Source organism: Homo sapiens, chromosome 1 (assembly GCF_000001405.40).
Source record: "Homo sapiens chromosome 1, GRCh38.p14 Primary Assembly".
NCBI classification, from domain to species: Eukaryota; Metazoa; Chordata; class Mammalia; order Primates; family Hominidae; genus Homo; species Homo sapiens.
Genome location: NC_000001.11, coordinates 213,511,314 through 213,529,063, shown reverse-complemented (window position 1 = coordinate 213,529,063; position 17,750 = coordinate 213,511,314). Strand labels below are relative to the sequence as shown.

The 17,750-nt window shown below is 40.4% G+C and overlaps 1 protein-coding gene across 1 annotated transcript in view, besides 1 other annotated feature; it reads right to left on the bottom strand.

Annotated features, from left to right (window-relative positions):
- The window catches only part of RPS6KC1 (ribosomal protein S6 kinase C1), an 811,495-nt gene that overhangs the window by 333,672 nt on the left and 460,073 nt on the right, over window positions 1-17,750 (bottom strand). The window lies entirely within an intron of this gene.
- Window positions 16,295-16,857: an enhancer, noted in NCBI's record as "NANOG hESC enhancer chr1:213685550-213686112 (GRCh37/hg19 assembly coordinates)". NCBI's record gives its function as "activates a minimal SCP1, AML or CMV promoter by ChIP-STARR-seq in naive H9 embryonic stem cells {active_cell/tissue: H9 hESC(naive)}" and the evidence as "EXISTENCE:reporter gene assay evidence [ECO:0000049][PMID:30033119]".

Genomic DNA, 17,750 nt, shown 5'->3' with positions numbered 1-17,750 from the left:
CCTGATTTTGCTCATGGATGAGGTTCCAATGTTTCGTTCCTAATGTCTAGCCCATAGTCAAAACTCTTCCGTATATCACTTGAATGAGTGAATGAATGAATGAATGCTTTAATTAAGTTCCTACCTGATTCCTACCCTGATTCAGAAGTCACCAGGTTATTTTCCAGAAGACTTCTGAAGTGCTAATGAATAACAGCACCCAAACATTTTTCCTTTACACTTCAGTAAACCAGACCCACTGTGGTTTATTTGTCGCTCTGGCTTCTCAATCATGAGGCTGCTTGGAGGACGCAGGGTGAAACCCTGTCCAAGCATAGGGGAGCAGACCTAGATGAACCACAGAAGTCAGGGCTGGCAGGATCTGAGATGACATTAAATCAACATCCTCATACTACCAATGCTGCTACTAAGGCATGAAAAGAGGAGAAGGACACAGAGAGTGGAAGGAGCAGAATGAGGACCCATTTTTGCAATTTGGGGCCAGTGTTCTTTCTACTCTTTTTCCCCAGTGTCAAGAGCACATTGTACCAAAAGATCAAATTGTACCCCCATGAATACAGTTGACCTTTGAACAACACAGCTGATATGGTTTGGCTGTGTCCCCACCCAAATCTCACTTGAATTGTAGTTCCCATAATCCCCATGTGTCGTGGGAGGGAGCCATGGGAGTTAATTGAATCATGGGGGTGGTTACCTCCATGCTGTTCTCATGATAGTGACTGAGTACTCACAAGATCTGATGGTTTTATAAGGGACTTTTCTCCCCTTTGCTCGGCACTTCTTGCTGCTGCCATATGAAAAGAAGATGTGTTTGCTTTTTTTTCTGCCATGATTGTAAATTTCCTGAGGCTTCTGCAGCCATGCTGAACTGTGAGTCAATTAAACCTCTTCCCTTTATAAATTACCCAGTCTCAGGTATGTCTTTATTAGCAGTGTGAGAACGGACTAGTACAACAGCTTTGAACTGTGTGGGTCCACTTATACATGGATTTTCTTTTGCCTCTGCCCTGAGACAGCAAGACCTACCCTCTTCTTCCTCCTCCTCCTCAGCCTACTCAATGGGATGACAACAGGATGAAGGCCTTTATGATGAATCACTTTCACTTAATAAATAATAAATATATTTTTCCTTATGGTTTTCTTAACATTTTCTTTTCTTTAGCTTACTTTATTATAAGAGCATGGTATATAACATACAAAATGTATGTTCATCATCTATTTCTATTATTGATAAGGTTTCTAGTCAATAGTAGGCTATTACTAATTAAGTTTTTGGGAAGTTAAAAGTTATATGCAGATTTTTGACTGTGTAGGGGTCAGTACCACTAACCCTTGTGTTGTTCAAGGGTCAATTGTATGTACAATTACAACGTGTCAATTAAAATTTTTAAAAAAGAAATGCTAAAAAAAAAGAACACATCAAAAGGGTCTGAAGATTTGCAGAATGGGAATGTTCTGGGAATTTTGTTCAGTTTCTTTGGAGCACTCTCCATATTCTCCAATAGCATATAAGCTTCCTTAGTATGATGCTACCCACCCAATGGTTGTAGGACTGAAGTCTGTGTTCTGGTCTCACTGTGATCACAAATCCCATGAGATCATGGAAAGACAGTAGGTCTGGGAAACACTCTGTCACTGTCACTGTTACTGACTCTGGGGTTCTAGCCAAGCCTCAGTTTTCTTGTTCTATAAAGTAGGTTAAAAACCTCTCGGCTCTATATATTTGCAGAAAATTGCAAAGGTCAAACAAGACCAGAATTTAAAATGATTTATAAACCATAAAACACTACAAATTGTAAGATTTCCACAGGAGCAGTGCCTGACCCATCTCCTAACTAGTCTCCTCCTCTGCATTGTGCATGGGTAGTCATCAGGCAAAGCAAGATAAAGAGATGTGATTCTGGACCTCTACGAGCTTTACAAATGCAGACTTTCCAAATATTCATTTGGTTTTGAGCTGCTCAAATTTTGGGACCAAGTCTTATTCATATTTACAGCACCTTCCACTCTTTCTCCAATGACTTGCCCAAGGCATCCCTTTCTGACAAATGGGGTGAGGCTGTGAATAGATGTCAATTAAGCCATCCAATGAATTGGCTCAGTACCAGAAAACCTCAGGATATCATAGAATTGTGGAAGGATTGCTAGTCTAAATTAAAGAAATATTTTAAAATCTGGAGTATTGTTTTAAATAAATGCAATTTTTATTACTCTTAAGAACAAACAGTAACACAAATTGGGCTAATAAAAGTATTTCCAAATAAAGGTTTTGCCTCAATTTCCTAAATTGCCTTTACATCCTTCCTGTCCCCCGAACTGTCCTATGAGGTAGATTACAATCCCCACTTTATAGATGAGGAAATGGAGGCTCAGGGAGCAGAGGACTTAGGTTCACACAGTTTTAGCGGTAGAATCAGGACTGAAACCCAGATTTTGGATCGCTGTGTCAGAATGATTTCTAAGCTATCATTCTTTCCAACAGATTTTATTCTTTGAGCACACATACCATCATTTTTCACACCTAATCTCCCTCCGCTATACTTGCTGGGCAAAATTCCAGCCCTAGTTAAATTCAACTCTCCTCCCCTCCTATGCTTCACCCAGACAGCTGAACCTAGCTGGGGTGAAACATCAGCCATGCTAACTGCCTTACTCTAAGTTCTTGATTAACCAAGCTCAAGTGGGCCCTCAGTGTGCCCAGCAATCCTGTCTACTACACTTCCTTCATCCAGTACGCTCTCTCTCTCCCAACCAACAATATCACATGTGCTCAAATCTGTCCACCTTCCAACAACCCTCTGGACTCTCTGGTGATAAACTTGGTTCACTAAGAAAATATTGCAAATGGAAGAGAATATGTAAACATTCAATCGATCACACGTTTACATCTACCTGCATTTCCCCCAAGTAATCTGTGCCCTCCTCTCTTCCTTATTTTAGGTCATCAATCCTAGAATTATCCTTTTGTTCTCCTGCAGTTTTCTCACTCTACTGGACTATTTTTGCCAGCAATCAAGCATGCCATATTATCTCCCATTTTTTAAAAATCAACAAAGACCCTCCCTGGACCCCACATCTCCCTTCAGAATAGCCCCACCCTTTCTTCCCTATCAGCAGCACAATTCTTTAAATAAGTCATTTATACTCGCTGTTTCCACTTTCTGTCCTCTTACTTTCTCTTGGACCCAGTCTACTCAGCCTTCCCCCCACCACTCTACTGAAGAAAACCCTTTCAAAGAAACCAATGCCCCCATGCATTGTCCAAGGGCGACATCAGTCCTCAGTCCTTATCATCCTCAGACATCAGCCCTGTATTTGCCAAGGCTGACAATCATAATCACTCCTTTTGCCATGAAACCCTTGCTTCATTTGTAACCTGAGACAATGTTTTCTCCTTATTCTCCTCCTACCATGTGGCTACTTCATCTTTGTTTTCTTGGTGGATTTCTCTTCACCTTCTAAGTATGGCAGAGTCTGAAGGCTACCTTGGGACCTTTTCTCTTTATCCACTCCAGTCTCTGATAAGATTATCTAAGTTTCCTGGCTTTAAATACAAATGTATTATAGCCCCAGCTGGTACCTCTCTTTAAACTCCAGACTTTTACATACAGCCACCTACTTGATATCACTAATTGAACATCTAATTGCACATAACATCAGAACTCCTGATTTCCTCCCTAACCCTGCTTTACTTTAGTCAGTAAATGGCAACTCCATCCTTCTGATTGCTAAGCCTTGCACTTTGGGGTCACCCTTAATTCCTCTCTTTCTCTTACACCCCCACAGCTGATATTTCAGTAAATACTGTCTCTCTACTTTCAAAACATACCCAGAATCCAAGTGCTTCTCTCCCCCTACAGTGTTCCCATCCTGATTCAAGCCACCAGCTTTTGCCTGGTTTATTACAATACACTTCTAAGTAGTTTTTCTATTTCCACTTTGCCCTCATAGCAGCCAGAGGAATCTTTAGCTCAGGTTAAAATCATCCTTATTATCATCACATTTACTGGGTGTCACGCACTTTACCTATGTTAAGCCATTTACTCTTCCTAACGACTCTGTAGGATAGGATTTGTTATCCACATTTTGCAAATGAGAAAAGGCAAAAAGTCGTTAAGTAACTTACCCAAGACCACACTGCTAGTAATATAGGAGATAATTTAGTAAGAAGTAATTGTGAGAGGCTCAAAGTGGGGGTTGTTAGCTCTACCTTTCCAAGGTGATTAGATCTTGCCCTGTGTAGATCAAACAACTTTATAGGAATAGACATGCTTCATAGGAATAGCCACCAGGTGCAAGTGGTAGGCACTGCATGAAGTGCTCTGCACACATGATCTCTTTTATTGTCTTGGGATAGTCCTGTGAGTAGGTGGTATTAACTCCATTCTACAGATGAGAAGACTGAGTCTCAGCATTCTGAGACTTTACAGTAAATGGCAGAGACAGGATTTGTACTTTGGTTTTTGAGACTCTGAAGCCCATACTTTCCACACCAGAGAGATAGGTCCTCAATGACAGAAGAAGGGGTTCCAAGGGCTTTAGATGAAGCTTGGAAGGAAAGTCTCAAGTGTTGTTTCTCAGGTCACAGTTCTTCTATCAGAAGTGAAGCTAGTCGATCTGCTGAGCCAGAGGCTCAGGCCCCTGGGCTGGGGCTGGGGCTGGCTGCTCCTTCTCGGGGGAGTGGGAGACCTGGCTGATGAGATCCATATGACCTTGTCAGAGAGCACCACTGAGCTGCCTGGGCTGGGGTAAGACAGGGCCTCTGCTTTCTGGGTGATGGTGAGGAGCAGGGAAGAAGATGCACAATACTATTTTTTTCCCAGGTCTGGCAGCATGCCTGGGTTCTGCTGGCACTCAAGTGCCTTGTGAGTTCCAGATCATGGTGGAGCTATGTTGGGCATCTCCGGCAGCCATCAACCTGCTATGGGCAGAAAAGCTGGTTCTCCAAAGTCTTTTCTCAACCTCATTCTGACATAATAGGACCATACTGCAGCTTTTTCCTGCCTCCCGGGGCTTCCTCTTTCTGTCCTATGCTCTTTGGGAGTCACCGACAATCTTCAGGGGGATCAGCCTCCCGCCGTGACTTTGTACTTGTCTCAGGGGTGTTAGACAAGCCGTCTCCTCTGCCTGCAACATGTGTCTGCCTCGCTCAGTCTTACCCCCGTTCCCTGGTGAATGCCTAAGAAGCAGCTCTCAGTTCTCAGCTCCAACCAAGGCCCTTTCATCAGTGAAACCCTTTCCAATCCCCTGATTAGATCGGGGTGCAGGTTTTCACTCTCAAGCACTGTAAGTGACTTCTGCTAATGCAGCTTCTTACTTACCACTTACAGCAGTTTGAATTACACTTTCTGTGCCTATATTTGATTAATTTCTGTAACCCCCACTAAACTTTGAAACCAATAATAAAAAATAATGGTCATAAAGATAACAATGACAACAACAATAACAAAATTAGCAGCAAACATTTATTGACCCTGTGTTCTGGGCACAGTGCTAAGCTTTTCTGTGTATTACCTGATTTATTTTTACAACAACCCTGTAGATTGTGTATTATAGGCATACTCCATTTTATTTTACTGTACTTTGCAGACATTGTATTTTTTAGAAAGTGAAGGTCTGTGGCAACCCTGCATCAAGAAACTCTATTGGTGCCATTTTCTCAGCAGCATGGGCTCATTTCATGTCTCTGTGTCATGTTTTGATAATTCTAACATTTTAAACTTTTTTCATTATTATTATAGCTGTTACAGTGATCTGTGGTCAGTGATCTTTGATGTTACTAGTCTAATTGCTTTACAGCACCACAAACTGTGCCCATGTAAGACGGTGAACTTAATCCATAAAAATTGTGTGTGTTCTGACCACTCCACTGACCAGCTGCTCCCCCATCTCTCTCCCTTTCCTTGGGACTCTCCATTTCCTAAACACAACAATATTGAAATTAGGCCAATTAATATCCCTACAATGGTCTGTAATTGCTCAAGTGAAAGGAAAAATTGTGTATCTCTCACTTTAGAGCAAAACCTAGAAATGATTAAGCTTAGTAAGGAAGGCATGTCAAAAGCTGAGCTAGACTGAAAGCTAGGTTTCTTTCACCAAACTGCTACCCCAGTTGTGAATGAAAAGAATAACTCTTGAAGGAAATTAAAAGTGCCATTCCAGTAAACACACCAATGATAAGAAAGCAAAATAGCCATCTTGCTTATATGGAGAAAGTTTTAATGGTCCGGATAGAGCAAACCAGCCAAAATACTCTCTTAAGCCAAGTCTTGATCCAGAAATAGGTCCTGCTGCCTTCAATTCTGTGAAGGCTGACAGAGGTGAGGAAGCTCTAGAAGAAAATTTGGAAGCTAGCAGCCATCTCCATAACATAAAAGTGCAAGGTGAAGCAGCAAGTGCTGTTGTTAGAAGCTGTGGCAAGTTATCCAAGAGATCCAGCTAAAATCACTGATGGAGGTGGCTACACTAAACAAAAGATTTTCAATGTATATAAGACAGCCTTCTATTGGAAGAAGATGCTATCTAGGACTTTCATAGCTAGAGAGAAGTTAGGACATGGCTTCAAAACTTCAAAACACAGGCTGACTCTCTTGTTAGGGGTTAATGCAGCTGGTGACCTTAAGTGGAAGCCAATGCTCATTGACCATTCTAAAAATCCTAGGCCCTTTAAGAAAGAATTATGCTAAATCTACTCCGCCTGCCCTCTATCAGTGGAACAACAAAGACTAGATGACAGCACATCTGTTTATAGCATGGCCTAACTGAATATTTTAAACCCACTGTTGAGACCTACTGCTCAGGAAAAAAGAGAGTCTTTTCAAAATATTATTGCTTGTTGGCAATACATCTGGTTACTCAAGAGCTCTGATGGAGATGTGCAAATAGATGAATGTTGTTTTCATGTCTGCTAACACAATATCAGTTCTGCAGCCTATGAATCAAGAAGTCATTTGACTTTCAAGTCTTATTATTTGAGAAATACATTTTGTAAGGCTGCCATAGATAGTGATTCCTCTGATGAATCTGGGGAAAGTAAATTGAAAACGTTCTGGAAAGGATTCATCATTCTAGAAGCCATTAAGAACATTTGTGATTCACAGGAGGAGGTCAAAATATCAATGTTAACAAGTGTTTGGAAGAAGTCGATTCCAACATTCATGGATAACTTTAAGGGACTCGCAACGTCAGTAGGGGAAGTAACTGCAGATGTGGTGGAAATACCAAGAGAACTAGAATTAGAAGAGAACCTGAAGAAGTGATTGAATTGCTAAAATTTTATGATAAAGTTTGAATAAATGAGGAGTTGCTTCTTATGGATGAGCAAAGAAAATGGTTTCCTGAAATGAAATCTATTCCTGGTGAAGATGGTGTGAACATTGTTGAAATAACAACAAGAATTTAAAATATTACATAAATTTAGTTGGTAAAGCAGTGGTAGGATTTGAAAGGATTGACTCCTATTTTGAAAGATATTCTACTGTGGGTAAAATGCTATCAAACAGTACCACCTGCTAGAGAAATCTTTTGTGAAAGGAAGAATCAATGGATGTGGCAAACTTCCTTATTACCTTATCTTACGAAGTTGCCACAGCCACCCCAACCATCAGCAATCACCATCCTGATCAGTCATCAGCCATTAGCATCAAGGCAAGACCCTCTACAAGTAGAGAGATTGACTCACGGAAGGCTTAGATTACCATTAGCAATTTTAAGTATTTTTTAATTAAAGTTTGTGCATTTTTAGACAATGCTATTACATACTTAATAGACTACAGTATAGTGTAAACATTAACTTTTATATGCACTGGGAAACCAAAAAATTCATGTGACTTGCTTTATTGTGGTAATTTCCTTTATTGTGGTGGTCTGGACCCAAACCCACACTATCTCCAAGGTATGCCTGTAGTATTCAGTTGTTAAAGGATAATAAGGTAGACTTACATGCACTAATATGAAAAGATACATCATTAAGTTAAAAAAACTAAATTGTAGAACAGAGCATATAGAATGAAGATAATTTGCTTTTAAAATGTGTATTCATATCATATATTCTGTATATTATATACAATGCACTAGGTATAGACTATACACATCAAATGGCCAATAATGGTTAACTCTGGGGAGTAGGAATGGAGAGGCAGGACTTTTATGTTTTTCTTACTATGTGTCCCTCACATTTGAATGTTTTTCATAACAACTATTTATTTGACAATTTAAAAATAAATGTTTGTTATATTTTGTTTTAAGAAAGAGAGCACACACCCTTCTTTTTGAAAATCCACCAGTAAACCTAAATGAATCCCTAGGTTTGTGCTTCCTTTGAGCAAGTAGACAACCATTCTAAATCAGCCCTCACCAACTACCTGTCCTCTTTCTTGCCTTATCTTCTCATGGGTTTGGTAGGGAAGGAAAGTGGGTATGGGTCAAGTCTGATAAAAAGAATAAAGGAAGGAAACGAGGGAGGGGAAGGGAAGAACAGAAGGAGGGAGAAAGGAAAGAAAGAAAAGAGCCCTTTTAAGTCCCTTTCTTACCCATGTGTCCCTCCAAGGGTCACTGAGTGATATGGTTTGGCTGTGTCCCCGCCCAAATCTCATCTTGAATTGTAGCTCTCACAATTCCCACGTGTTGTGGGAGGGACCTGGTGGGAGACAACTGAATCATGGGGTGGTTTTCCTCATACTGTTCTCGTGGTAGTGAATAAGTCTCATGAGATCTGATGGTTTTATAAGGGGTTTCCCCTTTCGCTTGGCTCTCATTCTCTCTTTTTGCCTGCTGCCATGTAAGAAGTCCCTTTGCTCTTCCTTTGTCTTCCACCATGATTGTGAGGCCTCCCCAGCCAGAACTGTGAGTCCATTAAACCTCTTCTCTTTATAAACCCAGTCTCAGACATGTCTTTATCAGCAGCGTGAAAATGGACTAATACACAGAGGCAGGGTCATTAAGAGCAAGAAGGAGACAGGTAATGGAATAGAACAGAGTTTAGACACATAATAAGAACCACCATTGGTTTGGATCTCTTATATACATAGCTCAAGATAAAGATGTTAATCCTTTATTCCACATTTAAAAGGCAGAAGCTGTGTGATCTCTCAAAACTGTAATCTCTCACCACCTCAGTATTCTCATCTGCAGTGTGGGAAAAACTTCCCAGCTCACAGACTTTTCTGGAGTTCATTTGAGATCCCACATAAATAAAAGTATTATTTATGCTACAATTGATATTGTTATTGTCACTTCAGCTACTGAGCCAGAGCTGACAATCAATGCTCACTAGCATGAAGTGCAGTCATCCAGTATCCAGTGGTTACCATGTGGCTGCTCTTTAGATCTGCTGAAAAATGGTGACTGTGGAAATAATTTTAGTCCCATTCACAGATTTTAAATAACTGACTGTATGCAGGGGAGAGGATCTGGCTGTGGGGAGGGGTGGTCTCTAGTACCACGCAGCTGCTATGGCTGTGAAAATTTAACCTCAAGCAGCCTAAACATTCATTTTACAATGTACACTGCTGATTACTTAATTATGTCTAAAATATAAGTCAGACACACTACAAACCCCAGGGAGTAAATTACACAGATCTATGAAGCAACATCTACGCACTCATTCTGGTCTCACATTTCTGAATTATCTTTTCCCCCCAGTGAATCTGAAAAACCTCTTTCTTTTCTGCAAAACGTATGGCTACTGCAAACAAATGACCATTTTCTCAGTTTTATAAGCTCGGTGTGGGAGAGCCCATCCTCAATCTAACATTACAGACTCTTACCAACAGGTTCTTATCTTTGTGTATATTTGAACTAGGAGATCTACATATGCTTGATCTCAGCATGAACCTCCGTATGACCTGATTTTGTTACCATGGTCACCAATTAGATGAGTCTTGTTGACTGCAGAACAACAGTCAAAGGATTTCTATTAAGTTCCAGGGTGGAATAACAGTCATATTTTGTGAACACACTTTATAGGTTATTTTTCCCACTTGCTTGCCCCAAGGTCTACCTCCCTCTATCTGCTGAGAATGTAGTTGTTATATAAAATTCAGAGAAAATGCTTTCTGGAGCCAGTAATTAAATTTTCTTACAAAATGAATGGGTCGTCTGAGATATCCCTTCCCTTCTTCTCCCTCTGGGATGTAGATGTGCAGGTCTTCCTCAGAACTCACCTACAATCATCTTTTCCTAAATAAACTCATCCCCATTCTACAGCCCCACATGGATACACATATGTGAAAACACACTATCTCCTTTATCAATATCTACCATCTATATATGCATAACACTGAAGGGTATTTTTGAAAGGTTCAGCTGGGCAAGGTTTTTCATATGCTCATTCCAGCTGATGAGTGTGGTCCAGTGATCTCACAAAAACCATGCCCAGTAATTTATAAAAGTTAACATTAACAGGTCACAGGTAGGTACTGAAGGTTTTACGATGTTTAGTTTGGAGTAGCTGCCATAAGAAATCACCATAACATCAGCGACTTTAAAGAACAAATTAATTATCTTAAAGTCTGGAAGCCAAAAGTCTGAAATCAAGGTGTCAGCAGGTCAGGGCTCCCTGCAAAGGCTCTAGGGGAGGATCCTTCCTTGCTTCTTCCAGCTTCTGGTGGCATCAGACGTTCCTTGGCTTGTGGCAGCATCACTGTAATCTCTGCATCCATCTTCACATGCTCTACTGCTTCCCATCTATGTCTTCCCTTCTGTCTCTTATGAAGATGATTGTTATTGGATTTAGAACCAACTGGATAATCAAGGATGATCTCATCTTGAGAACTTCAACTTAATTACATCTGCAAAGACTTTTTCCAAGTGAGACCATAGTCACACGTTCTGGGGAACAAGGACATATATTTTAGGGGGCCATCATAAAACCCATTATGACGACAACATAGACTTTTCTGGAGGTTTTTTTAAAACTGGAATTTTTACATGTGCAGTGTCAGGTACTTATGATCAGTTTTGAACTTACTACAATGCCAAAGACTATTTAAATAAATACATGCCTTTCTGGGGTTGCAATCCTAGTCTCTGATAAAACAGACTTTAAACCAACAAAGATCAAAAGAGACAAAGAAGGCCATTACATAATGGTAAAGGGATCAATTCAACAAGAAGAGCTAACTATTCTAAATATATATGCACCCAATACAGGAGCACCCAGATTCATAAAGCAAGTCCTTAGACACCTACGAAGAGACTTAGACTCCCACACAATAATAATGGGAGACTTTAATACCCCACTGTCAACATTAGACAGATCGACGAGACAGAAAGTTAACAAGGATATCCAGGAACTGAACTCAGCTCTGCACCAAGCGGACCTAATAGACATCTACAGAACTTTCCACCCCAAATCAACAGAATATACATTCTTTTCAGCACCACACCACACCTATTCCAAAATTGACCACATAGTTGGAAGTAAAGCACTCCTCAGCAAATGTAAAAGAATAGAAATTATAACAAACTGTCTCTCAGACCACAGTGCAATCAAACTAGAACTCAGGATTAAGAAACTCACTCAAAACTGCTCAACTACATGGAAAGTGAACAACCTGCTCCTGAATGACTACTGGGTACATAACGAAATGAAGGCAGAAACAAAGATGTTCTTTGAAACCAACAAGAAAAAATACACAACATACCAGAATCTCTGGGACACATTCAAAGCAGTGTGTAGAGGGAAATTTATAGCACTAAATGCCCACAAGAGAAAGCAGGAAATATCTAAAATTGACACCCTAACATCACAATTAAAAGAACTAGAGAAGCAAGAGCAAACACATTCAAAAGCTAGCAGAAGGCAAGAAATAACTAAGATCAGAGCAGAACTGAAGGAAATAGAGACACAAAAAATGCTTCAAAAAAATCAATGAATCCAGGAGCTGGTTTTTTGAAAAGATCAGCAAAATTGATAGACTACTAGCAAGACTAATACAGAAGAAAACAGAGAAGAATCAAATAGATGCAATAAAAAATGATAAAGGGAATATCACCACCGATCCCACAGAAATAAAAACTACCATCAGAGAATACTATAAACACCTCTATGCAAATAAACTAGAAAATCTAGAAGAAATGGATAAATTCCTTGACACATACACCCTCCCAAGACTAAACCAGGAAGAAGTTGACTCTCTGAATAGCCCAATAACAGGCTCTGAAATGAAGGCAATAATCAATAGCTTACCAACGAAAAAGAGTCCAGGACCAGATGGATTCACAGCCGAATTCTACCAGAGGTATAAGGAGGAGCTGGTACCATTCCTTCTGAAACTTTTTCAATCAATAGAAAAAGAGGGAATCCTCCCTAACTCATTTTATGAGGCCATCATCATCCTGACACCAAAGCCTGGCAGAGACACAACAAAAGAGAATTTTAGACCAATATCCCTGATGAACATCGATGCCAAAATCCTCCATAAAATACTGGCAAACTGAATCCAGCAGCACATCAAAAACTTTATCCACCATGATCAAGTAGGCTTCATCCCTGGGATGCAAGGTTGGTTCAACATATGCAAATCAATAAACGTAATCCAGCATATAAACAGAACCAACGACAAAAAACACATGATTATCCCAATAGATGCAGAAAAGGCCTTTGACAAAATTCAACAACCCTTCATGCTAAAAATTCTCAATAAATTAGGTATTGATGGGACGTATCTCAAAATAATAAGAGCTATCTATGACAAACCCACAGCCAATATCATACTGAATGGGCAAAAACTGGAAGCATTCCCTTTGAAAACTGGCACAAGACAGGGATGCCCTCTCTCACCACTCCTATTCAACATAGTGTTGGAAGTACTGGCCAGGGCAATCAGGCAGGAGAAGGAAATAAAGGGTATTCAATTAGGAAAAGAGGAAGTCAAATTGTCCCTGTTTGCAGATGACATGATTGTATATCTAGAAAACCCCATCATCTCAGCCCAAAATCTCCTTAAGCTGATAGGCAACTTCAGCAAGTCTCAGCATAAAAAATCAATGTGCAAAAATCACAAGCATTCTTATACACCAATAACAGACAAACAGAGAGCCAAATCATGAGTGAAATCCCATTCACAATTACTTCAAAGAGAATAAAATACCTAGGAATCCAACTTACAAGGGATGTGAAGGACCTCTTCAAGGAGAACTACAAACCACTGCTCAATGAAATAAAAGAGGATACAAACAAATGGAAGAACATTCCATGCTCATGGGTAGGAAGAATCAATATCGCGAAAATGGCCACACTGCCCAAGGTAATTTTTGGATTCAATGCTATCCCCATCAAGCTACCAGTGACTTTCTTCACAGAATTGAAAAAAACTACTTTAAAGTTCATATGGAATCAAAAAAGAGCCCGCATTGCCAAGTCAATCCTAAGCCAAAAGAACAAAGCTGGAGGCATCACACTACCTGACTTCAAACTATACTACAAGGCTACAGTAACCAAAACAGCATGGTACTGGTACAAAAACAGAGATATAGATCAATGGAACAGAACAGAGCCCTCAGAAATAATGCCACATATCTACAACTATCTGATCTTTGACAAACCTGACAAAAACAAGAAATGGGGAAAGGATTCCCTATTTAATAAATGGTGCTGGGAAAACTGGCTAGCCATATGTAGAAAGCTGAAACTGGATCCCTTCCTTATACCTTATACAAAAATTAATTCAAGATGGATTAAAGACTTAAATGTTAGACCTAACAACGTAAAAACCCTAGAAGAAAACCTAGGCAATGCCATTCAGGACATAGGCATGGGCAAGGACTTCATGTCTAAAACACCAAAAGCAATAGCAACAAAAGCCAAAATTGACAAATGGGATCTCATTAAACTAAAGAGCTTCTGCAGAGCAAAAGAAACTACCATCAGAGTGAACAGGCAACCTACAGAATGGGAGAAAATTTTTGCAATCTACTCATCTGACAAAAGGCTAATATCCAGAATCTACAATGAACTCAAACAAATTTACAAGAAAAAAACAAACAACTCTATCAACAAGTGGGCAAAGGATATGAAGAGATACTTCTCAAAAGAAGACATTTATGCAGCCAAAAGACACATGAAAAAATGCTCATCATCACTGGCCATCAGAGAAATGCAAATCAAAACCACAGTGAGATACCATCCCACACCAGTTAGAATGGCGATCATTAAAAAGTAGGAAACAACAGGTGCTGGAGAGGATGTGGAGAAATAGGAACACTTTTACACTGTTGGTGGGACTGTAAACTACTTCAACCATTGTGGAAGTCAGTGTGGCGATTCCTCAGGGATCTAGAATTACAAATACCATTTGACCCAGCCATCCCATTACTGGGTATATACCCAAAGGATTATAAAACATGCTGCTATAAAGACATATGCACACGTATGTTTATTGCGGCACTATTCACAATAGCAAAGACTTGGAACCAAGCCAAATGTCCAACAACGATAGACTGGATTAAGAAAATGTGGCACATATACACCATGGAATACTATGCAGCCATAAAAAATGATGAGTTCATGTCCTTTGTAGGGACATGGATGAAGCTGGAAACCATCATTCTCAGCAAACTATGGCAAGGACAAAAAACAAACACCACATGTTCTCACTCATAGGTGGGAATTCAACAATGAGAACACATGGACAGAGGAAGTGCAACATCACACACCGGGGCCTGTTGTGGGGTGGGGGGAGGGGGGAGGGATAGCATTAGGCGATATACCTAATGTTAAATGATGAGTTAATGGGTGCAGCACACCAACATGGCACATGTATACATATGTAACAAACCTGCACGTTGTGCACATGTACCCTAAAACTTAAAGTATAATAAAAAAAATATATCCCTTCCTCAGCATTTATTTATTAATCAAAGGCTAAAAATTTGATTTTAAGTTTGTGAATTAGGTGTAAGAATGCTGAGAAGTCACAAAGATATTAAAATGAGACACTTTAGAATTTGTCAAAATAGTCTAGGACCAAAATAAACCAGGAAATGTCAAAGGCATTCTGAGAACAGTAAAGAATCAGAAGAATGACTGGAAATGAGAAAACTGTTGAAACAGCAAAGGACTAATTAAAAGGATGTGCTGGCAGAGAACAATCAAAAAACCACAAGCAACATGGAGACAGCACTTGGCAATGCACGTGAGCACTCCAGCGCAAGATTCCATCACAGAATCTATTCTATTCATGGCTATTAAGATGGCTGGAATGGTGCATGTTCACTGATAAAGCTGCATATCAGTATTACTTTGTGTCATTGCACCACCTCTCCACTTTGTACAATATTATCTTGTTCTTGTGATGGTTGCTTTTGATCATATATCTTTGTGTTTCAAGTTATTTCAGGTATAAATGTATTTATCCTCCTCTGCTAAAATGCTGTGCATGGCAGGCATTCAAATGGTAAGTTTGGGGTTTGTGTTTGTTTGCTTGCTTTTGTATTTGTTTCTTCTCTCCTGCTAATGCAATCAATCCCTGAGAATGGGGTTAGATTGGGGTAAAAGCTAAAGTTTGTGTGCTCTCCAAAAATTGTTGTAGAGTCATTGCTTTTTGTGCCTATTTTTTGCCACCCTAAACCCTTAAGAGAAGGAACTGTGCTATCTCTTTCTTCAATTGTTCTACTACAAAGTCCCCTGACCACCTTGGGTACTATATTAATTTTCTCTTGCTGCTTATATAACAAACTAGCACAAATGTGGTACTTAAAACAACACATATTTATTATCTGGTAGCCCTGGAGGTCAGAAGTCAGAGATGGATCTCAGTGGGCTAACAACAAGGTGTTAGCAGGGCTGAGTTCCTTTCTGGAGGCTCTATGAACGAATTCTTTCCCTTGCTCTTCCCCACTTCTAGAGGTGCCACATTCCTTGGCTCATGGCCCTCCTCCTTCATCTTCAAAGTCAGCAACAGCATGGAGGTCTCATCACTTTGCATCACTCTGACCTCCTCTTCTGCCTCCCTCTTCCATATTTAAGAACCTGTGATGGCATTGGGCACACCAGGATAGTTCAGACCAGTCTCACCCATAAAGTCCCTTTTGCCATGTAACATAACGTATTTACAAGTTCCAGGGATTAGGACATGCTCATCTTTAAGAGGGTCATTCTTCCTACCATAGGTAAAAAACAGATCAAAGAATCAAGGTGAGCTGACTTTTTCCAGTTGACACAGAGGCCACCCCTCCAGGTTTGGGCACATCTCCTCTGTCACCAGTGTTTTGAACTAATTCCTATGTCTTGGCAGGGTAGCTGGGTGGCAACTAGAGATAGATGGTAAATGGTCAGGTCTTTGGCAGTTGAGTCTCTGTAGTTTACAAGGACAACACTACTTCTTCTCAAATGATTGCCATAAAAATTTCACCCCAGATAGAAAATGAAGCACAAGTGTGCCTCATAACAAGGAAATGCTGTATAAGAAAGTCTGCCCTTTCCCACTTAGATAATTTGCCAAAGCATGGAATCACAGCACTGAAGTCCACCAACCCTAATCCTGCTGGAACTCCAGCAGTTTGTACCACTTAACTGTCGACTAATGGGCTAAAGCAGTTGCTAATGGGCTAATAAGATGGCCATTAACAGCTTCTTAAGTAGCAGGCTGGGAGAGCTGTGTGACTTTTATTACAGCCACTCAGAAAGGGCTGAGTCTTCTCAGTTTATAAAAGACCCCAAATTGGGGCAAGAATGCTTTTTCCTAAAGGTTGATTTCTCTGGCTCCACGTGTGGAGGCGGCAATCGTACAAGTTACCGAAGGCTTTCTCTCTTAATAAAGATATTCACTCTAAAGTTCCTTGCCAGGATCTTCCTTTGGGCATTTAAATGTTGATTTGCAAACCATAAATTATTTCCAAAGACACAAGGAACAGGGACATTTTTAAGTGATGTCTTAAGACAGACTCTTCAAAAATCAATCAGGAATGAAGATAGAGCCTCATTACAATTGTGAATGAATGTCCCCAAGCATAACCATCTAAAAGTGCAAATGAAGTCAGAGTAACATTAAAAGCTGACTATTGCTATCACTATCACTATCTCGTCAAGGCCTCACATGCTCATTTAGTCATTCAATAAAGTCTTACTAAACACATAGCGGGTGGTGTTCTGGCTGCAGGAATCCATCAGAGAACAAATGGGCAAAACTCTGTACCATTTATGGAGCTTATGTTAGTGGAGAGACTGAACATAAAAACGAGTAAATGATATAATATATTAGAAGGTGACAAGTGCCTGGAAAATGATAGAGCCAGGGAAGGGGGATCAGGAATGCTCAGGGGAGGGACAATAGTGAAGGGACACCTCCTTGGAGAAGGTGACATTTAAACAAAGGCTTGAAGAAACAACTATGAACCAGAAGGAAATCCAGGCATGGGCAGGACAGTCTCTAGTTTATTGGAGGAAAAGTAAGGAGATCTGCATAGCTGGAGAAGGGAGAGTAGGTGAAGACATAGGGGTGCCAGAGGTCTGGATTATACCGGCCTTATTGTGACTTTGGCCATTTCTCTGAAATGAATAAAGGGCTGCTGGGGGATTCGGAGCAGAGGGGTGAAGGAATCCCATCCCTACATTAGCATCTCCCCACTTGCTTCAGGGAACTCCAAAGTGATACTTACAAGTTGGCTTCACAGGACACCTCTCCCCACCTCCACCATCAACACCACGTGCAAAAATGTCAATGCCTTCCCAGGCTGCTGCTCCACAATGCTGCTGGATGGCCAGCCCCGGCTTGCCAGAGCAGGGCCGTGGGGGCACCATCTCCCCT